Source organism: Homo sapiens, chromosome 10 (assembly GCF_000001405.40).
Source record: "Homo sapiens chromosome 10, GRCh38.p14 Primary Assembly".
NCBI lineage: Eukaryota > Metazoa > Chordata > Mammalia > Primates > Hominidae > Homo > Homo sapiens.
In genome coordinates this window covers 70,045,846-70,069,430 of record NC_000010.11, presented here as the reverse complement: position 1 = coordinate 70,069,430, position 23,585 = coordinate 70,045,846, and the positions used below count along the sequence as shown (strand labels likewise).

Genomic DNA, 23,585 nt, shown 5'->3' with positions numbered 1-23,585 from the left:
AAGGTATACAGTCTTATAATTACTCGTAGAGTGGATCAGAGCATTTCAAGAATGTTAACGGTGAGAAACAGGGAGGTAAAACTCCAGACTCAGAGAGGAAGAGGGAGAATGTAGGGCTCCTGGCTCGTTCCCCCGAACCCCCAGGAGCACAGCAACGGGAAGCACATCGTTGGTCTTGTGTGTGCTGGGGAAGAGGGCGTATTCAGACTCTGTTGTTTCAGAATTTATTTCTAGGTTTGGCTTTTAAGCCCATAACAACACCGACAGGTTAGATTTTATATATAACACCGGGTAAATATGAAGTTGCAGCACTGACTCAGACACGGGCAATAAACTCACACCAGACTATTCAAATAACTACCGTATTTCACTGATTTTATGATGCACTTTTATTTTTTAACATTTTACTGTCTCTAGAAGTTGGTATGCATCTTGCAATCGATACCATCATAGATTCAATCTAAGACAGTATTTATGGAGCATTTATTATTGAACAAGAAACTACATTAGATGTTGTTAAATTTATATGACCCTTGTCCTCCAATATTTTCCAATGAAGTTGCCTGACAGACCAAAATGAAGTTTCAAATAGATGTCAGAGCCATGGTTCCCAAACTGTGCACCAGGGTACACTGGGGCAATCAACAAACCCACAGAAGCACTGCAGGAAGGTTTAAGCTTTCCCTTGAATACAGCCATAGTTGGCCTCTGTGGGACCCCACCACTACCAGCTCCCGATGGTTCAGTTTCAACAGTAGGGTGCACTATGTTCCTTTAGATGATGCCATTTTTTTCTTGCAAAGCTGGGTTTTTGGCTGTTGCTGTGATTAAAAGCGAGTGTTGGGTGAAAGTCAATACAGAACAGAAAATGAGGGTGGCAGTGTCCAATCTGACTCCAAGGTCTGGGTACCTGTGCAGTGCCCAACAGCTGTACACATCCTATTTGTAATTCATTGTGGTTATTTAAGAACAGAATAAGAATACTTTTTCCTTTTAATTCATGTGTATTATTTTCCCATATGGCTAGTACGATGTTAGAACATGAATACTTATTAAGTTGTTTGGGCCTCAACACTTCATAAATGGAACAGGCAGGCATTTCCTCTGCCCTAGTGGTATCAAGAACATGCTGGAGACATTAAGAACTCTGAGAAAGTGAGGGAATTTCTATGCTAGGGCCCACCACCAACAAGCTTAAACCTATACTTCTGACTTGCTCAAGGTTACCCTAAAGTAAGGAAAATAAGAAAGTTAAAGAAATTATTTAAATATTTTGAGTTTATCTTTAAATCTGAGGAATATTTGCACATAGTAAAAAAAAAAAGCAAAAAGGAATCAAAATGTATAAAATGAAGAGCAACAGTTTCTCACTCATTGGTCTCATTGAGAGAGACAAGTACAGGCAACAAGGGTTAATTTCAGTTCTGGTGGCTACCTCCAAAACTCTCATGCTTATACCTCCACTTCTTGATCTATTTTCATTTTTAGACAGTCTCTATCTGTGCCAAAGAAGGATGAGGCCTTAACCCACCTTCCTCCTCCCTTTTCAATTGTTGACAGTTATTTTTTCAGTTTTATTTCCTCCACTGATCGCCTTGGAAACTTGAAGTAATACTGTACACTCCAATCTCTGTTTCTGACTTCATCAACTTTGGGGATTATCTCTCATGTCATCATCATATGAGAGGAGGATATGAGCGCCCTAATCTTTCCCTGGTCCTCTCCTCCCTACATCACCTCCCTAAGCTCTACTTCTGTCTTCTATACTTGCTATTGTCCTAGTTCATAACATATATATTTTATTCTATAATCACAATAAAATCATTCACATTTTGACTCTAGATTTATTTTGAAAGTTAAACTCCATTTACATGGTTAAGACTTTCTAAATATTGTTCCCTGCAGAACTGAGTATAGTGCTCATCACATTTGTAAATATTTTCTGCAGAATCAAGTGTGATGCTAGCATCACAGTTTCTTCTCTGTGGTCCAGCATCGGAATTCTTGAGTCCTCATGTCAAGACGAATTGTTTTTTTCTGAAAACCTAATGTTCAAAAGCATTCCACGTTTTCCGTGGCTTCACATTTGGACCATGTCTTTCTTGTATAGCTCCTCTCTAACCCTGAAGTTATTAACTATAGTTGATTCTCAATATGTGGGGTAGTTATGTTCTATAAAGTAGTCAGAAACACAGAATTAGCAAAAACTGAAAAACTGTGCTTAGGGGAAATACATGGTTAGGCTCCTACAAGCCTCTGGTCACAACATTTCATCAACTAATCAATACTTAACTTTGTTTTATGTGTGTTTGTGTTCAAAGACACCTTGTTTAATAGATATTGTTGACTCATTAACATTGAGCTTCTGGCCAATAGCACTGTTAACACGTGCCTGAAGGAAGCTTGCACATCATGGCCTTCTTGCACTTAGGAATGCTAGACATCATTTCAGCACTACACCTGGGGGCCATTCTAAACAGCAAAATCACCAACAAAAAGCACAAACATATGAAAAACATGGCACTAAATAGGGCATGGAAAGGGCACTTGATTGCATTGTGAGCTGAAACAAGAAGGCAGTCACCTGGAGCAGTCTCAGCTGGGAAGGTGTGCTTGTGGCGACTAAGATGTTTTGCTGCTCCGTGTACGTGCATGTCTTAGAATGACCATGAAAGTGCCGCAAGTATTGATTTGGGGGCTCCAAACACATTTTAGCATGTAGGCAAATTCACAAATATAGGATCCACAAATAGGAACGTGGACCATATTTTTCTGTGTTGACAAAAGATGTTCCTTTACCATGTCCTCAAAATCACTCAGCTTCTCAATCACATTGTTCTTTGTAGAGACCCTGTTTTTCCCAGAGAACCGTTTGCAGAGGGGTTATTCTCAAAGCCCTCTGACCTCCAGCTCCAGTTTGGAATGGGAGTGTTTTAGCCAGCGGTCTTCCTGGGACTGGTCTTTCTGGGACCTATCTTCTCTGTTCATCCTTGGCCCTATGACTTCCTCTTTCTTGGTTTTCTCCCTTGTTTTGTTGGTATCCACCTGATGTAACTCTTCAGAAACAGGACAGGGAAGTAAACTTTGTTTTCTTTCTTTCTTTTTTTGAGAGTCTTGCTCTGTCACCCAGGCTGGAGTGCAGTGGTATAATCACGGCTCACTGCAGCTTTGACCTCCTGGGCTCAAGCAATCCTCTACCTCAGCCTCCTGAATAGCTAGGACTATAGGTGTACACCACACCCAGCTGATTTTTTTGTAGAGATGGGGTCTCACTATGTTGCCCAGGCTGGTCTTGAACTCCTGGCCTCAAGTGATCCCCCCGCCTGTGAACTCTTGGCTTCAAGTGATCCTCCCATCTCAGCCTCCCAAAGTGCTGGCATTAAAGGCATAAGCCACCACATCTGGCCTAAACTTTGTTTTCTTACAGAAACAGAACTATCTTACTTGAACGATCTTTAGGTTATCATTTAGTAGAGTATTAACATTTTTAGTGTCAAAATCATTTTGCTTCAATATTTTGAAGTCATTGAACCCTGCTCAGCATTTGGCAATAAGTTGGTTCAACCTGAAAACTTAGACTTTTATAACATGGATTTTTTTTCTATTATGTCTTTGATTATCCCTCCCCCCTCAACCCACTGCCAATTTCTTTATTTCTCCCAATACCCCCTTTCTTTGTCTCTTACTGAGATTCCTGTAAACCAGGTATTGGATCTCCTGGATTAATAGTCCAAGTCTCTTATCTTTTTTCTTCTATTTTTTCTTCAGTCTTTATCTAATTTTGGTAATCATATTTTTAATTTCCAAGAGCTCTTTTTGTTCTCAGGTTATTCCTTTTTTATAGCATCCTGTACTTTAATGAATGCACCATGTCTTCAAATCTCTCTGAAACTAATTAGAATGTGTTAAATTTATCTTCTGTCCTCTAAATTATTTTATCAGGCAGTTGTTCTATTTATTTATTGATTGATTTTCATCTTTCACTTCCATGTAGGCTTTTCTTAAATGTCTGGTGATCTTTGGTTATGCGTTTGTATTTAAGAATGAAGGACAAGGCCGGGCGCGGTGGCTTACGCTTATAATCCCAGCACTTTGGGAGGCCGAGGTGGGCAGATCACTTAAGGTCAGGAGTTCGAGACCAGCCTGGCCAACATGGTGAAACCCTGCCTCTACTAAAAATACAAAAATTAGCTGAGCGTGGTGGTGCGTGCCTGTAATCCCAGCTACTAGAGAGGCTGTACCTGTAATCCCAGCTACTCGAGAGGCTGAGGCAGGAGAATCACTTGAACCTGGGAGGTAGAGGTTGCAGTGAGCCAAGGTCCTGCCACTGCAACGATCCTTTTTCAAGCACTCCAGCCTGGGCGAGAAAGTGAGACTCTGTCTCAAAAAAAAAAAAGAAAAAAAAAAAGAATGAAGGACAAGATTGATGATTATAGGCAGATAGAAGAGCTTTCTTGAATTCTTCAACCATTGGTTGGTGGGCATGCTTCCTGTTTGGGATCTCCGGGTGTGTGTGCAGGGCATGCATTCAATTAGCAGGCATGGCTTTAGGTGTCCAGTTAGGAACTAGTTGTATTAGTTCATTTTCACACTGCTGATAAAGACACATGCAAAACTGGGAACAAAAAGAGTTTTCGTTAGACTTAACAGTTCCACATAGCTGGGGAGGCCTCAGAATCAGGGCGGGAGGCAAAAACCACTTCTTACATGGCAGCAGCAAGAAAAAAATGAGGAGGAAGGAAAAGCAGAAACCCCTGATAAACCCATCAGATCTCGTGAGACTTATTCACTATCAGGAGAATAGCACAGGAAAGTCCAGCTCCCATGATTCAGTTACTTCCCCCTGAGTCGCTCCCACAACATGTGGGAATTCTGGGAGACACAATTCAAGTTGAGATGTGGATGAGGACACAGCCAAACCACATCAGCAGGCATGGCTTTAGGGTGTCCAGTTAGGAACTGAGAACCCCCAAATGCCAGAATGAGCAGGGAGGTTTATTTTGTGGTGTGATATTTATCCTAGAAATTCTACGTGTGCCTTGTAGTTTTTTAATCTTTTTTTAGATGGAGTCTTGTTCTGTCACCCAGGTTGGAGTGCAGTGGCGCAATCTTGGCTCATTGCAACCTCTGTCCCCCGGGTTCAAACAATTCTCCCTGCCTCAGCTTCCTGAGTAGCTGGGATTACAGGAGCCTTCCACCACACCTGGCTAATTTTTGTATTTTTAGTAGAGACAGGGTTTCACCATGTTAGACAGGCTGGTCTCGAACTCCTGACTTCAGGTGATCTGCCTGCCTCGGCCTCCCAAAATACTGGGATTACAGGCATAAGCCACCATGCCCAGCCTCTTGTAGTTGTTTGATTGCTTTAGAGAAGAACTCTCAGATTGTTAGCTTAAGGGCTAAACACCAAATTGCTGGAAACTCTTCTAGTAGTAAAGGAGGGAGAAAGGATAATTCACCGAGCTGTCCTGGAAACAGGCCTTCAATGAGTCCCCACTTATCACGCTCCCCACCTTCGCCGCAGTTCCCTCTTGCTTTTACTCTCAGTTGTGGCTTCCCCTGTGACGTGCATATGTTCTTATGTACTTTCAGTCTTCTGGAAATTTCTTGCAATCTCCCGTCTGCTGTTGACTAACCACACCAGCCCCTACCCCTTTGTTATTGTTTATTTTATTTGTACTTCTTTACCATTATTTCTGTGGCTCTGGAGAGGAGGGGTTTGAAGGAAAGCACATGTGCTCAGTCCATCATTTTGAACTGGAAACTGAAAATGTCATTTGACTTTAACATTTTAACAAACGTCATTTGTGGATCAGCCTAGAAATGAGTATGCTGCTGAGGAGAAACAGCTCAACTGTTTTATAATTGAGTAATAATGTCGTGTTAAAAAATTAAGATCACATTCATCACCAGGTGAGTCACTGAAAACTAACCGGTCTTGAGATAATTGAAGAATATAAAATTTTGCATCAAGAGACGATAAAGCCTCCTGAATAGAATAGAATCAAACTCAGTGTGTCTGTATTTGCACAATTGCAGCATATGAGGTTCCCATAAACAATATTTAAAATTATACTGTGATCCCAGATGGGAGGAGAGGAAAGAAAGGAAACCCCTTAGCATGTGCCCTTATTGAATGAGTTGCTTTTGGTGAGAAACAGGAAACTTTATTTAACACCCTGATGGCCTTCATCAAAAGACAAAATAGTCCGGTTTCTTTAGACCAATATTTTCTTTTTATTCAAATAATTTCTTTATCAAGTATAAGGAGCTGATATACGTTGAGCCACATTTTACACCTCAACTTTTCCACATTTTAATTTTTTTTTTTGTAAACTGTGGAGGGCTGCAACAAACCCTCTGCCAGCCAGCAAGGTGGGCCATTAGACAGCTCCAGCATCCTGATTTATTTATTTATTTATTTAGTTTTTGTTAAATTTTTTATTGGTGGTATTTGGTTACATGAGTAAGTTCTTCAGTGGTGATTTGTGAGATTTTGGTGTACTGAACCTGATTTGTAGTCTTTTATCCCTCACCCTCTTCCCACCTTTCCCCTGAGTACCCAAAGTCTATTATGTCATTCTGATGCCTTTGTACCCTTACAGTTTAGCTTCCACTTATGGGTGAGAACATACAACAGCATCCTGACTTAAATGACCATTTTTTTCTACAGTCAAGCTTCTACAACGAGGCTTTGAAAAAGAGACAGCAGTCAGTAATTTGAGGATTGGGAGCTATAATTATAGGCCAGGGTGTCACAGGTGGGGTTCGGTCACACCGATGAATCACCTTGACAAAGGATCTAGACTCACGAGACGGCTTATTTTTAAAGCACTCTTTCGAGATCATTCTCTTCAGAAGTATGCAAATCAAAATGCTTTCATCATACATTATTTTAAATCTAGAAATAAGAGATCTTAGAGCTTTTAATGATGGAATTGAAATTTAAAAAAAACTTTAAACATTGTTTTCATGAACATGAAATTCACAGTGTCATCCCTAATGGACTCATGTACTGTTTTAAAATTGCTGAAATTTATTCAATTTATTCATTTTTATCCTCTATGATATTTCCCTAATCTGTGGTATTGTGCTTCAGAATATTTTATATTGCAAATATTATGAAAAGTGATGGAGACACTGCAATGAAGCATCTTTGTCAGTTCAGAATAATCCTTTGGGAGAATACATTGAGATGAAATAAAACAAAACTAGGTAGGAAATGAGGGGATTCAATATAAATATATTAACTATACATTGAAATATATTTTAAAGGGTATGAAAAAAATCTTAGCTTCCCACCTAATAGAGTTTGACTGTATTTTGGTGTGTTACCCTAAGTACTGTATTAAAATAATAATAGTTTGTTAGCATTATTTTGTAGCTGTAAAAATCATTTTCAGTAATAAGAGCTAAATCACTGGCTCTATTACACTTCCATTTATGAACTCCAAGGGCAAATCATTATAGTATAATACTTTCCAAACCATTTTCTTTCAAGGCCACCTTTAAGTGAATGAGAATAGTCAATAATTTTATCGTCATATATGTTACAGCACATTAACAATTTATAACGTAAAGGGCTATATCAAATGCAATTTCATCAAAATGGCACGCAGATCAAATTAACCAAATTAACCAACCATGAATGTTAGAACCAAGCATTAATCCAATTTATTTAAATTATACTATTGGATAACAAATCATTCCCTTTTAAAAAAGTATTTCAAGTCACGTCGTGTAGTGGGAAGTTCAACTGCCGGCACATTCTTTGTCATTCAGAGGCAGAGCATGTGTGGTCACTCTAGAGGAGCTGGGGACAAGGGGTAGGGGCATTTAAGGGGTAGATTTAGGATATCTGCTGCTACTGCAGGATACTAAGACATTTTAACATGTTTTGTTGTCTCTGTTGAACCTGAGCTGTGGTTATTTTAAAAAAGAGAAATGCAGAAGTTGTTGATCTATAATGTAGCTTGTTTCTTTATTATTGGCCTTATGCTATTTTCTAATATAAATACGTTTGGCCACCTGTGGTACTTGGATGAGAAATGAATGAAAATAATTTTAGTTTTCTTTGAATCTGAGTTAGCAATGCATTCCTAAAGAAAGCCAACCAGAAAATGAACCAGTTTGCCTTCCTGAATCTATTCATCCACAGAAAACAAAACAAAAACACCCTCACTGGGTCCAGCCTGGTCTCTTCTTGTCTTTTTGTTCTTTGAGGCTTGACAAATAGGAGCAGTGGGATTTCCATAAACAATATTTAAAATTATACTGGGATCTCAGAAGGGAGGAGAGGAAAGAAAGAAAAACCCCTTAGCACATGCCCTTATTGAATGAATTGCTTTTGGGGAGAAAGGATAAACTTTATTTAACATGCTGATGGCCTTCATAAAAAGACAAAGTAGTCTGGTTTCTTTAAACCAATATTTCTTTTTTCTTTTTTTTTTTTTTAGACAGAGTCTCTGTCACCCAGGCTGGAGTGCAGTGGCCCAATCAGCTCACTGCGGCCTTGACATCCTAAGTTCAAATAGTCCTCCCAACTTAGCCTCCCAAAGTGCTGAGATTACAGGCATGAGCCACTGAGACCAGCTTGACCAAGATTTTCTTTTAATTTAAATAAGTTCTTTATCAAGTATAACAGTGGTTAAACTATCTTGTTTTCTGCAAATCTAACAGATCCAAATTAGTAATGCAGTTTATTGTTATAAGCAGCACATTCTTTACTTCTCTGAGCAGGGCACTGGCTTTGTCTGAGCCAAGATGAGATTCCCAAATGGGAGTAGAGGTGTGCAGGCGCACCGTTAGGGGCTAGGGTGAGTGTTCCAGTACCAGACAGCAGGTGGACTGTATGCCTTGGTGTGCCTGATCCACCAGGGGCTTCCAGAGACATCCATGTTTGCTGAGCAACTGAGTTCATCAGTGGGGCCAGTTGTCTGCTCTCAAAGCTAGAACAACAGACTGCTCTGGAACCCCTCTTCCTCCATCCCTTTCTCTGCCTGCACCTCCCTACCCATTTTTTCTTGCTGTCTGTCCTTTTTTCTTTTTCTTTCTTTTTTTTTTAAGAGAGTCTGGCTCTGTCGCCCAGGCTGGAGTGCAGTGGTGCAATCTTGGCTCACTGCAACTTCTGCCTCCCTGGTTCAGGAGATTCTCCTGCCTCAGCCTCCCAAATAGCTGGAATTATAGGCGCCCACCACTGTGCCCCCCTAATTTTTGTGTTTTTAGTAGAGATGGGTTTTCAGCATGTGGGCCAGACTGGTCTCCAACTCCTGACCTCAAGTGATCCGCCCACCTCAGCCTCCCAAACTGCTGGGATTATAGTCGTGAACCACCGCACCTGGCCCTGCTGTCAGTCCTCAGGCAGTGGCTGCACTGTGGGGACAAGTGGCTTGGGTCTTTTGCTGCAGTTCTATGTTCTGTGCTCTTGACAGGCAGTGTTGCTCCCTGGTTATGCACGTGTGGGTCCCCTGTAGCTCCTGGGCCCCGGCACATTGTATCAGCTGCTTCAGCTAAGGGCTACCACTGGCCACACCACACCACACCATCCTCTCTGTGGGTGTAACCAGCCACTGGCCACACCACACCATCCCCTCTGTGGGTGAAACCTGCCAAAGTTCAAGGGGGCATCAAGGTGGTAGAATGGAAGGTGCGGTGGACCACGGGGAGGGAGCCTCCAGTTTGGCTGTGACTAGCTGTGGCCTGTAGGCAAATCAGTAGACCTCGTAGGGTTCCCCTTTTGCTTGAACAAAAATTTGTAGGAGGCCAGGCGCGGTGGCTCACGCCTGTAATCCCAACACTTTGGGAGGCCGAGGCGGGAGGATCACTTGAGGTCAGGAGTTCGAGACCAGCCTGGCCAACATGGTGAAACTCTGTCTCTACTAAAAACACAAAAATTAGCCAGGTGTGGTGGCGCACGTCTGTAATCCCAGCTACTTAGGAGGTTGAGGCAGGAAAATCATGAACCTAGGAGGCAGAGGTTGCAGTGAGCCAAGACCACGCCACTGCACTCCAGCCTGGGTGACAGAGTGAGACTCTGTCTCAAAAAAAAAAAAAAGAAATTATACTCTAATATATAAAACAGATGCAAGGGGAGCTGTCCTGGCTGGAGTGGGCAAGTGCCTGGGAACTTCAACAGCTTGGTCGCCACCTTTCCTGCCTTGGGCCTCCAAGGAGCACTGGGTTCTGTGGAGCCCCACCTGAGAACCATTGCACCAGCTCACCTCTGAGGTCCTCTCCAACCTATAAGATGCTCAAAACAGACTCCCTCTGAGCCCCACCTGTCACTTACATTCACAGAGATAGAGCAACCAGGATAAATAAGTCACATTCACAGGATCTGTCCTTTGAAGTTGCTATTTCTTCACCCAGGATAACCACAGAAAAGAAAAACTGGACCTGAAAAAATCTGCTTGATTTTATATCTAGGACTGCCTTTTCTTCACCCCAAAACAATAATCTACATTGTTTACTATGGAACAGCTGAGGTGAAAATTCAGTTTAGTCGTGATAGGGTTGTTGGCGGGGTGGTGGGGGGACGGGGGACTTAAGTCAATGATCACTTCATTGAAATTCTGCAAGAAAGCTCAATTTGGAAGTTTACCACTCGGGATGAGCAACCCAGTGAATTACCACCTGACCTAAAAGTTTATGTTGCATATTGTATAAGCTATTGGGGTTTGCCTTTTTGTGGTCCACCACCACTATTTAATTTTAATGGTCTTATTGAGCAGTGAAGGCAGGAGCGCAAAATACAAGTTACAAAATTCTGTGTGTGTGTATATATATATATATATAAAATTGGCAGTGCCAGCCCAGCCAGCATGGGGCCTGGGTTCCAGGGTAGGTTTGATTTTATCTTGTGCTGCTTTTATCCTGTTGTCATAGAAATATCCCAAATTTGGGCATCTAAACTCTTATCATCAGGACCGCCTTTCATATCCAGAAACAACCCCTAAATCTTTGGCCAGATCATGTGTTGTAACTTTGAGTGAATAAATGTGGTCAGTGTATCTAACCCTTCTGACATCTCAGAATCAGTTGGAGTAAATGTCTGTACACTGGTGGTCTATGCATATTTCCACACACATTTCTATCAAAGCATGAGAATTTTGACTTGAATTACTTACTCCATTCCAAGTCCAAATTGGCAATGCCAGTCAAATAAATCGGGCAAAGTATGATGGATGGTGAGATGGATAAATGAACAGTAAGGGCTTCAGAGAAACCACCAAATTTATCTTATTTAATACTTTGTGACAAGACAGCTTAAAGTACAGAGTTCTGTGGCTCAGTCTCATATTCTTTCATTTGTCATAGTTGGATAAAGTAGTGAGACAAATAAGTTTTGAAAATAAAAATTTGCCTACACAAACATTAAGCTGAGTATCATCTGAGAATCATCGGAAAGCTACCAGCTCCTTGCTCTTACCACGTGGGCATAAGGATGTAGGGCTTTGGGGTCATGCTGCCTGGCCTGGAGTCCCTTGTGTGGTGACTTTGGGGCATGTTCTTCACCATCCCCCCACCATTTCGTTTTCCTGTGATGGGTGTAGTAATAGTACCTACTTATAGGGCTGCTGTCAGAATTAAATGGGTTAATACATGTAAGGTGCTTGAACAGTACCTGGCAGGTAGCAGACATTTAATAAACATTAACTACTGTGATTTATTTCCACAAAAGAAATCATTATAGAGAACTATTTTCATGAAATGCAGTCTGACATTTTCTTGGGCATATTTCTGCCTCTTTGTCCACTCTATTTCAAAACCAACCGCTACAATTAGTACGGTACTTGAGGTTGTATGTGTGTAAAGGGGTAATAATGAAAGTTTAACTCTAGGAAAACCCTGAGAGCCACATCATCTGCTGAGAACCCTCATGACAGCAAATAGTTTTGTTTTTCCCAAGGCTGGGCACTTTCAGATCCCCTCGGTCTAATCCTGTAGTCTCCAAATTCCATCTGCCTGAATTCATAGTCATTGCAATGTTGGAAATCACAGGATTTCACAAAATCATAATCTAAGACTGAAAGGGACTTGAGTGATCAATCATTTAGCATTCTCCCACTCCCCACCCCCACCCAAATGTAGCTACAATGAAAGGAATGGCTTGGAAGGGAACGTGCTCATTGAATGACTTGTCCATGGCCTGTGAGACCAAACTAGAACCAGCCCCCTTACCTCAACTGCTGCAACTGGGCTGTTCTTCCAAAATGCTATTGCATGTTTTACCCCCAGATGCCACCTAGCATAGTGTTAGGTCACAGTTGATATTCAATAAATATTCCTTCAACTAGTGTTTGAATAAATGAAACCAGCCTTAAATATTTTGTTTCAAAAGGTCTCTTTTGTGATTTTTTGGGGGAAATGAATTATCCTCCCAAACACTTATCTTTCCCTCCAACCTAATTCCCAATATACATCCCAGTGTATATTGGGGAAAAAAATTCTATCTTCAAGATTTCACTACACTCCTTTTAAAAACATGATCTTCCAATACTATATTGGAACTCATATACTTCTCTACTGGCTCGTTTTTCTCTTTCTTCTATATATAGAATTTAAGGTAGTCACAGACTTAAATGGCAATGAAAAAAATTGTGAGGGTTCTTTTAGTTCATCCTTCAACCTGAACCTTGGCAGGGTAGGCCAGGCCAGGACTCTCAGCCTTGCAAGGGAATCTCATAATCATGTTGAAGAATGAGGACTAGCTGGAACACAGCATCTGCATCCAGCTTCCTTCCACCTGCCTCGCTCCCTTACCCTTCTTCATCCAAATCCTGCCACGTTCTCTATGAAGCCTAGCCCAACACCCTCCCTTCAAGTCCAAAACTCTCTTCTCCCTTTACAAACTACTGTAGTAAATTTTTTGTGTATATCGTTATGTATTAATTATGTATTATCATTATGTATTATCAATCACTTTAAAATTATTACTTGTATTTAGTTATCCAAGCAAGACATACATTAATTCAAATTACAGAACTTGGCCGGGCATGGTGGCACACGCCTGTAATCCCAGCACTTTGGGAGGCACAAGCTTGTAGTCCCAGCTACTAGGGAGGCTGAGGCAGGAGGATCACTTGAGCCTAGGAGATGGAGGTTGCAGTGAGCTGAGATTGTGCCAATGCACTCCAGCCTGGACAAGAGATACTCCATCTCAACAAAACAAAACAAAACAAACAAAAAAAACAAATTACAGAACTTCAAATATTGTAACAAGGTTATGGATGGGTATCAATAATGATATGGCTAAAGCCCTTCTTGACAATTCCTCTAGTTCTTGTCTCTCTTAGTGGGCATCTTCTATACTTTTTCTGTCCATTTTGTATGAATTTTTACTTATAGAGATGTATAATTTTATATCGTTTTAATATCAATAGTACCATATAGTATGTACTGTTCTGCAATTTGCTTTTTTCATTAATAGTACATCTTGGTGATCTTTTTCTGTCTCAGTATGTATAGATCTGCTTCATTCTTTTGAACTGCTGCCTAATATTCCAGAAGACAGATGCACCAGAGTTTATTTAGCCATTCCCTGTTGATGGCTGTTAGGCTGTTTTCTACTTCAGAATGACCAAAATTGCAATGAACATCCTTATACATGCTGAGCTCACGGATGCCTGCTTCTTTGGGTGACATACTGAGAAATGGAATGGTGAGTCACAGAATGTGTGCATTATTAATTTTATAGTGCCAAACTGCTCTTCCAATTGGTTATATCAATTTACACACCAGTCAGCAGTATATGAAAGTACCTGTTTTCCCACTAGCTTGCCAAAATCACTTTTTACCTTGTTTTACCTGCATGTATATTTTATCTCCTAGGCTTGGGGTTGTAAGCTTTATGAGAGAAGGGCCCAATGACTTCCTTATATTTCATTTCTTTCCCTATCTAGAGGTGTTTAAGAATTGGTGTATACTCAGGAGGCTGAGATGGGAGGACCCCTTGAACCCAGGATTTCGAGACCAGTCTGAGCAATATAGCGAGACCCCCATCTCAAAACAACAACAAAACAAACAACAAAAGACTTGGTGCTCAATAAGTGTTTGTTGAATGATCTCTAACCACAAGTTCTTTGTTAATCTCTGTGCAATATACTTTCCATTTACCAAGACTGCATCTAACTTGGAGGTTATTTCTTAAGGTTGAAAAACATTCTTAAGAAAGTTGGCTGAATTTTTGCACATCCCTCCCCGGTAACAAGTTACAGATACCTTTCATTTAAAGTTGCCTAAGACAGGACTCACCTCCTGTTCTGCTGGCAGGAGGCAGTGAAAACAGATGTGGTTGTCTCAGACAATAGCTAGCAGGGTGTCCCACCCACTGGGAAATGGCAGACCAGAGGCGCTTTAAAAATCCTGGGAACCAGACAGAAGATGGAATGGTGAGGGAGTAGGGTCAGAATCACAGGGACACTCCGGATTCAAGGAGGTAAATTCTTTTACGCAGTTTTGATATAGAGGAAACCACTAATAATGTGTAAAGTCTGACAATTAATGGATCCAGGTGAGGTGTAACTGTGGTAGGATAGGAAAAACCAGAGAAGAGGAGAACTGGGCATGTTTTAAAAGGAAATTTGGCTACAGGAAAGAGGGGTTATGAAGATGTGAATTATGCGACTCAAGATAAACTTTTCCGCCGGGCAGTGCCTCTATTTATTTATATGTAATTTTAGGCTAAAACAATTCTAAAAATCACCAGTATGTTTCCAAATCTTGGAGCTCTTAACATTTAGTTTGAAAATAAAAAGTGTGTTAAAACGGATTGAGAATTATGTGTAGCTTAGTTTGTGGTTCAAAACAACACACACGAAGACACGTTCTCGCTCTTAATAATGTTTTCTTTTTCTCTCACCTATTGAACCGTTTCAGTAGCAACTGTGCAGCCCAGTGAGGTGACAATTGGATTTCAAAACAAACACAAATGAGCAAAGTGAGGAAACCATTTGCCGCGGTGGACTAATGGCCCCTAGGGGATCCTGGGGTCTGTGGGGCTTAGAACTGGGCCCTTGTTTTGAATTCCTCTGAGGTGGACAGAAGCTGGAAGGACACCTCAGTTCCAGCGTGGCTGTGACAGGGTAACTGCCCTTAAAATCAGGGCAGCGGAGCCACGGTTCCCATCGCGTCCCCTCAAACACTCAGGGCCCCGCACTTTGGTTTCTCAGCCCATTTCTTCTCGCGCCTTTCATCCCTTCACTCATCCAGGGCCGTTGCCAAAAAACCCTGGCAAGGACCAGGCCTCAGTCAGGCCCACGGTGGTCCACTGCACGCGACGGGAAACTCCTGGAGGAAGCTCGTTTGGCCCTTGGGGAACCAATGCCCCTTTGGCCATTGTTGTAAGGAACAAAGAGGGCAAGAACTGAGGGCGCCCCCCCAAGGAAAGGCGGGGGAGGACACCCACGGGCGATCCGGGGGGCTGGCCGGGCTGGGGCTGAGGTGCGCCGGGGCTGGAGGCTGGGAGCCGGGGGAGGCAGGGCTGGTCCCCAACCGCCGCGCCCCGCGAGCGATACGCACGGCGTCCGGCGCCCGGCAGAGCCCTTTCCTGCGCCGCAGCCAGTTTACTTTTATTCCCTTTTTCGATATTTTTATTATTATTATTTTTTCCCGCGCAAAGCGGGAGCCAGACTGCCCAGGCGAGCCACGGCCGGGCCGCCATTTCCCGGTGAAAGCGCAGCGCGCGTCGGCACCGGGCGCCCCGGAAAGGGAACCGAAGGGGAGTGCCCGGCCTCGCGCCCTCTTCCGCGCCGGCCCCGGGGCGCACGCCCGCCCGCGGCGCCCGGGTGTCCGCGCAGCAACCCCCAGCCCTCGCCCCGCCACCCGGCGTCCCCGACCTGACCTTCCCCGGCGCGGCCCGCCCCCGGACTCGGGTCCCTAACCTCCGCCCGGCTGCTCCGCGCCCCCTCCATTGTCAGCCTGGAGCCGCCGGCGCCCTGCCCGGGCACCTTCAGAGGCCCCCGAGCGGCCCTCCCCGGGCTCCCTCGGGCCCTGCGCAGCCCCCCACCCATCGCCCCGTGCCCATCGGCGGCCGGGCGCCTCCGTCCTCCCGCTCCTGCGCCCGAAACTCCGCATTCCCAGGAGACCTCCGCTTCCTCCGGGTCCAGCCTCGCCTGGGGCCCGCTGCTGAACCTCGCATCCCTCCTCCTTCCCCTCTCAGTACCCTCGACGCCCCCGGCCCCTCGCTGGCCGCAGGAATTTGACCACTTCTTTAGCAGCCCCCCCTTTATCGCCCAAGGAAGCAAGTTGGGCAGCTGGATTTAAGAATTTGTTTTTGCAGAGGGTGGGTCGGCTATCGAGGGTGCGCCCGCAGGGGCTCGGGGGAGAGGCAGAGGTGGTTCTCTCCGGCCCCTGCACTGCCCCGGCGGCGCGTTTTGTTTCCAGACCCCGGAGCACCCTAAACAATAATGCCATCGCCATGGCGGGCTCACCTGGTGCTGCGCCGCCTGCTCCCGGCGCCCGGTGCCCTCTGCGCGCCCCTCCACGGGCGCAGGTTTGGCCCACGCGGCGCCGGTGCCGGGCAGGACTCTTTGCCTTTCTTTGGGTTCTATCTGTGCGTGTCAATGGCGGCAAGCGGCAGTTCTCTGGGCCGCGGATAGTAGCGGGGGGAGGAGGAGGAGGGAGAAGGGATTGCTCCTTCTCCACATAACCACCTCTAGGAGGAGTTGCTCAGCCTCATCCCCCGCCAGCCCAGGCTCCGCGACGGGTCCGGGGCTTTCGGTGGGGCTTGATGAGCTATTGTCCTTCAGGAGTATTAATGGTGAAACCGCGCGGCCTCCGCGTACTTGGCCGATCTGCGAGACGAGCCGAGGGCCACTCGCTAACATGAGGCTTTCCCCAGAACTGGGCACAAACGCGCTATGGTCGCGATCCAGTCTCCTGTTAGCTGGATCCACCTTTGGTGGGAGAAGGTGGCGTGGGCGTTCATCTGGCAGCTCTGGGGAGAGTCTTCGAAGGGGAAAGCGAAAAATGCCACCTTCTATATTTTTGTGTCCTTAAATAATAACAAGTACATTAACGTTTGTGTCCACCACTGGGAAGAGTGCATAGGGCGGCCACAGCCACGAGAGCTGAGAATTTATATCCGTGCCTGTAGGCTTTTTAGAAATTAAGACCGATTTAGAATCCAGCGTTGCATAATATTTGGAGAGGCAGATGTATGTTTTGGTGGGTGAGACTGTGTGTATGGGCATAATTTTTAATTGGGTTGCTTTACAAGGTGTTAATTTGCAATATCCCAACGGGTATTTAGATGAGCGCGAGGCTATTGTCTTCAGGACCAGTTTTTATTAGTTACTAGAAAATGCATCTTTATGGGGGTGTGGTGGACACTGTCGGGTGTGATAATGGGGATTAGCAGTTGCTGTGTTCCTAGTGGAAGCCAGTCTCGGCTTTGTATTGTGAGTTGTTGGCCAGGGCTCCATGGCTGGAGGGGAGTCAAAAGAATGTGTTTATTTCAGTGGGAAATACTAACTTGCTGTGGACCATCCAGGTTTCCTCTGATTTCTCCTACAGTCAAAGGACTGTGAGAGGCAACATTTTGATCCCTTCCAAAAAGAGAAACCGGTGCAAACAGAATTCTCCAGCCTTGGCCAAATGGCTGATTTTTAAAGCTGTTACATTTGGTAATATTGTGTATATTTGCTACTACAAACTTGTAACTATTTAGGCAGTGGGGACTTTGGAGTGACTGAAAGCCTCCCAGTGCCTGAGTGGGAAGAACTCATGCCTACCACCCTCTGCGTCTCTACTAGTTAGTTAATCATGGCTATTGCTGGCGTTTATAGATAGCGGGTTAGGTTTAGAACATGTGCATTTTAAAGTGTATTTGCTGAGAAATCAGCCATGTTTCTCTCTGACTTCCTCCAAATCACGCATATATCATCAACATATGCATAAGCCTCTATTTCAGTCTCCTATGGCTTCTCAAACTCCCCTGGACTCAACAGTCTCTGTTTCTTGGGGCTTCCTTTACTCTTTTCCTAAGCCTTTCACGCCCTCTGTGTATGACCTCACTGTTCTTTGTCTTGGAAGGTATTTTCCAGGTCAGATATCCAGTCAGGATAAAGTCTTCTTTCCCCAAGATGTATATTTAAAGGGTTTCAAATGATCCCCTGGGGCATCCCATAATGATGTCCTTTCCCATTCCTAAAGAAAGGGTCTCTCTTCTTATACCTTCAGGTGTCCATTCTTCACCAGAAATAACCATCAAGCCAACATTCAAGAGAGTTCAGGAGTTTTCTATGAGTGCTTGAAAAATACTCATACTCTGTCATCCAGTCAGCCAGGCTGACTGAAATATAGTTGAATAATTCATCAGTAGATATTAGATTCACATTCTCCTTGTAATTTCCCAATAAAAGTGGCATATGTGGTCATTTTTATGTGAATTTTATATAACAGTTCATTCTAGCATTTTGTTATGTGCTATCCTGAGAGAGGCTGGATCTAGTAAATTTACTGGTTAGGATTCTCCCATTTCATACTGGTTGGTTTCTTCAGACAGATGATGCTGTCACAACTCAGAAAATCAAGGAAGAGGTCAGCTTCAAAATACTCTGATTCTTAGGATAAAAGGGTTCTTAGAGTTCACCTAGTGGAAACCTTTGCTATAGGAAGAAATCTGGTATTTGGAAGGGTGAAATGACTCAGCCATGGCCTCGCAGGACATTAGTGGGAGATCCTCCAATGCATGTCCAGATACCCAGTCAATGCAGTTTCCGCCAATTCCAAACTTTTCAGGATGTATAGGGGACAAATATGCCACTTAATATGCAGATCTAGTTGAATTATGTGTGTTTAATACCGAACATTTAACACATAAAAATTTAACACTGAGATAGTATCATATAATATTATATAAAATTAAAATACATTTTAAAAAGTCAACATGATCATAAGTTGATAAGTAATCTAGAGTTCCGCAGTGGTCTCTAGCTCGGGGAACCTCTGACAAGTTGAATAATAAAGAATGATAAGAGCTTACACTTATTGAATGTTTACTATGTGCACTGTACTAAGCACTTTATCCTAACTTATTTAATCCTTTCAACACTTGTATGGGGCAAGCACTATTTTCTCCTTTTTACAGACTGAGGCAGGGAGTGGATGAGAAACTTTCCCACAGTTATAGAGTTAGGAAGTGGCAGATCCATGCTCTTAATCACTGCCTTAATCTGAAGGTGGAGAAGTGCATTTGTTTTAAGCAAAGGAATTTTGCACTCAGTCACATGATCTGAGTCTAAGAGGGGCCCTTGGGCCCCTCCCAATAAATGTCCCTAAGGAGTCAGCAAACAGCCTAATTACAGGAGGGTTGGTTGATTACAGTTGCACTGAAAACATTTTCTTAACCCTTGACCTGTATGTGTGCATAATATTATGAATACAGGTATTGATTGTGAGTTGACTCCATTACAGCAAACATGTCTTTAATAATTTTATTGAGATGCAGGATGAAGCACTTCTCCATTTAGAGAGAGGCATGTAGCATAATTTAGAGATGAAAAAAAAAAAAGAATCAAATGAATCAGTCATCCAACCAGATTTGTATCCTATTGGGTTGCTAGTAATTCATCCACAAAATCATCTACTTCAAAAATAGCTTCATTGATTTACCCCCCAAACCCTTTTTCTTGATCCAAATTTGTGATTTTGTGTAAACTGAGTGGACTTTTATTTTTCATGATTAGTTCTAATCAGTTTACGATACATATTATAATTTGTGATCATTTTACCCTCCTAGGATCTTAATATGCAATTACCTTAGTAATTTCCTGACTTTGCATCTTCCAGAATTTACCTATGTGCATGTAGGTATATATTTATATCTGGCATATGTAAGTATATGCGTAAGATTTGTAGATCTAAATTAATTTTATTTGGGAATTTCTGATCTCCTTTGAAGTAACCTGAGATTCCCTGGGAGTGTCATAGAAACAGATGGAAATCATTGGTTTATGCACTTCTTTGGATGTAAGTTAGGAACTCTAGACACTGTATTAATTTTATCAAGACACCAACTGGTATAACTCTAAATAACAATGTGGGAGCTTGAGGTTATGAATGCAGACAAAGCACCAGGCTAACAGTATCCCACCCTGTGAAAGAATAAACACAGCGTCCAAAAGTACGTTGTAGCTAGGAAAATACTGGACAATTTGACACATAAATTTTTGTTTAAGCTGGAAACTTACAAAGTCTTTCCTGTTTTTATATTTTGAATAGTGAACATGATTGGTGTTAAACTTTTATTTCCTTGATCACGACTGATGACTTTAGGATCTTAATCATGTGTGGAGGGGGAATAATATCCTTAAAAAAAAAAGGACACGCAGGCAATCATTAGGCCAACAAAGACTATGCTTATAATTTCTGGCTAAAATGAATGTCTTGGTCTCCTAGCAAAAGAAACATTTTACTAGTCCTGGTTCTTAAAAACAGTGACAAACTATGTCTTTTTTGATACTAAGTCTTGACCCTTTGGTTCTGGGAAAGGGGATTTGCATGAGTAGGTATGTGTGTGTATAGATGCATATTTAGATATGTACATTTATATATGAATCAAATATTTGATGCATATGTTACATGTGTATACCTTGTAAGATGAGTAATGACTGAGATTCCAGTGTGCTCAGAGTTAGGGCTGGTTTGGATTTTAAAGAAATCTACCGAATGTTTAGCGTTTAACTGATGAACTATATTGTAAAAGAAAATGAAGTGTTTCAGCTTTTTAAGACAAATACACTGTCAGTCCCAATTATGCAAAGTTGTGGTTAGGAAAATAAGGCACGTGGTATCATTACGTTTAATGGAAACAGAGCCCAGAGCTAAGGGGAGTGTGCCAGTTGGTAACTTGCTCTGATCGGTTACGGAGCTTTCTGGGAGATCATCCTGTTACCTCCAGGCAGAGTTCTTTGTGACAATTGTGATGAGAAGTGGCAGCAAGTATCCAGAGAGTTTGGACTTTAGCATCTGTGTTGGCAGATCTGTGCAATGTGACCTCACACCTAAACAAAATTGCTCTTTACAGTTTAGGCCCAGTCTGGAGAATGGGGGCATTGATTTTCCAAATCCACAAATGCAGAATACCATAGTGAAACTATAATTTATTTATACAAATGGTGTGTTTTTACAAAGGCCATCTGTCAGTTGACTCTCTGATCTAAAACAAATCTGTTTGTTCCCCCAGAAGAAATAACATGTCTGTTGAAAAAAGATTTATGGACGACAGGCTGCCCAATCCACCAACCATTGGTATAATAGTAACTATTTATGATATATTTACTTCTAAAGGAGTGCTGTGAGTGGAATCTATTACTTGTAAAGTATGGTAATTAATTTTTCATTACCTCAAAGCCAAGAAATGGAGCCCACTTGCATTTATTAAGATTGCTGTGTGAGAAACATGTTCCTTCTGGAAAAAAATATCCAAGTAAAGCATTCATAGAGCTGTGGCTCTGTGATAACTCACTGTTCTGATTGGGTAGATATAGGCCCATGGGGTTGATCTCAAGCCTTTGATTATTTTCTGGAGGACAAGGGGACGAATCACTCTTGAATGACCATGGCTACTTTATCTCTAGGCACCATGGATGGCCCTCATTAAAAATTAGAACTTTCTATTAATACTAAAAGAAAAGAAGATTCTAGGCTAGGAGAAATTGAAATGGAAAAGAAGGGAAGGCTCTCTGCCCTATCTCCACTTCTCCCCAGCCCCTGACCCCTGCCAGAAAAGAGATACTCAAACTATTTATCTGTTTATCTATTTATTCCTGGACTCCCACCCCCAGCTTTACTGAGGTATAATTGACAGATAAAATTGTACAGTTGACCCTCTATTTCTTTTTATTATTACTATTATACTTTAAGTTCTAGGGTACATGTGTACAATGTACAGGTTTGTTACATATGTATACATGTGCCATGTTGGTGTGCTGCACCTGTGAACTCGTCATTTACATTAGGTATATCTCCTAATGCTATCCCTCCCCCCTCCTCCCACCCCATGACAGGCCCCGATGTGTGATGTTCCCCACCCTGTGTCCAAGTGTCCTCATTGTTCAATTCCCACCTATGAGTGAGAACATGCGGTGTTTGGTTTTCTGTCCTTGTGATAGTTTGCTCAGAATGATGGTTTCTAGCTTCATCCATGTCCCTATGAAGGACATGAACTCATCCTTTTTTATGGCTGCATAGTATTCCATGGTGTATATGTGCCACATTTTCTTAATCTAGTCTATCATTGATGGACATTTGGGTTGGTTCCAAGTCTTTGCTATTGTGAATAGTGCCGCAATAAACATACGTGTGCATGTGTCTTTATAGCTGCATGATTTATAACCCTTTGGGTATATGCCTAGTAATGGGATGGCTGCAGTTGACCCTTTATTTCTATGGGTTTTGCATCCATGGATTCAACCAACCATGGTTTGAAAATGTAGTTAGGCCTGTAATAGTTGCATCTGTGCTGAACTTGTAGGGACTTTTTTCCTTATCATTATTCCCTAAATACAGTATTACAACTATTTACATAGGATTTGCATTGTGTTAGGTATTATAAGTAATCTAGAGATAATGGGCATAGGTTACATGCAAATATGGACCATTTTATATAAGGGACTTGAGCATCCTTGGATTTGGTATCTGCAGAAGTTTCTAGAACCAATCCTCTGTGGATACTGAGGGACAATTGTATGTATTTAAGGGATACAATGTGATGCTTTCATATGCATATATATTGTGAAATTATTGTCACAATCATTAACACATCAGTCACCTTACATAGTTACCTTTGTGTGTGTGCACTGAGGACATTTAAGACCTACTCTCTTAGCAACCTTCAGGTAAACAATACAGTATTATTAACTCTAGTCACCATGTTGTACATTAGATCCCCAGAATGTGTTCCTTATAACTGAAAGTTTGCACTCTTTGGCCAACATCTTTTCATTTCCCTCAGTTCCCAGCCCCTGGCAACCACCATTCTACTCTGTTTCTTTGAGTTTGGCTTTTTTTTTTTTTTTTTTTTGAGTTAGAGTCTTTCTCTGTTGCCCAGGCTGGAGTGCAGTGGTGCGATCTCGGCTCACTTCAACCTCTGCCTCTCAGATTCAAGCCATTCTCCTGCCTCAGCCTCCCAGGTAGCTGGGACTATAGGCATGCACCACCACGCCCAGCTAATTTTTTTTTGTATTTTTAGTAGAGATGGGGTTTCACCATGCTGGCCAGGCTAGTTTCGAACACCTGACCTCAAGTGATACTCCCGCCTCAGCCTCCCAAAGTGCTGGGATTACAGATGTGAGTCACCGCACCTGGCCAAGTTTGACTTCTTTAGATTCCACATATAAGTGAGCTTATACATTTCTCCTTCCTTGTCTGACTTGTTTCACTTATTAGCATGATGCTCTCAAGGTCCATCCATGTTGTCACCAATGGCACGATTTCCTTCTTTTTAATGACTGTATATAATGGCAAAAACTGCAATGACTTTTGCACCAACCTAATATATACATACACACACACACATACACACACACACACACACACACACACACACACACACAGAGTTTCTTTATCCATTAATTCATCAA

The 23,585-nt window shown here is 42.5% G+C and overlaps 1 protein-coding gene across 1 annotated transcript in view; it reads right to left on the bottom strand.

Moving 5' to 3' along the window:
* MACROH2A2 (macroH2A.2 histone) overlaps positions 1-16,585 on the bottom strand; it is a 59,437-nt gene extending 42,852 nt beyond the window's left edge. The window contains exon 1 of the mRNA NM_018649.3: positions 16,431-16,585. The gene's annotated coding sequence lies outside the window, so the exon portion shown is untranslated. The remainder of the gene's footprint in view (positions 1-16,430) is intronic.
* Between the last annotated feature and the right edge of the window lie 7,000 nt (positions 16,586-23,585).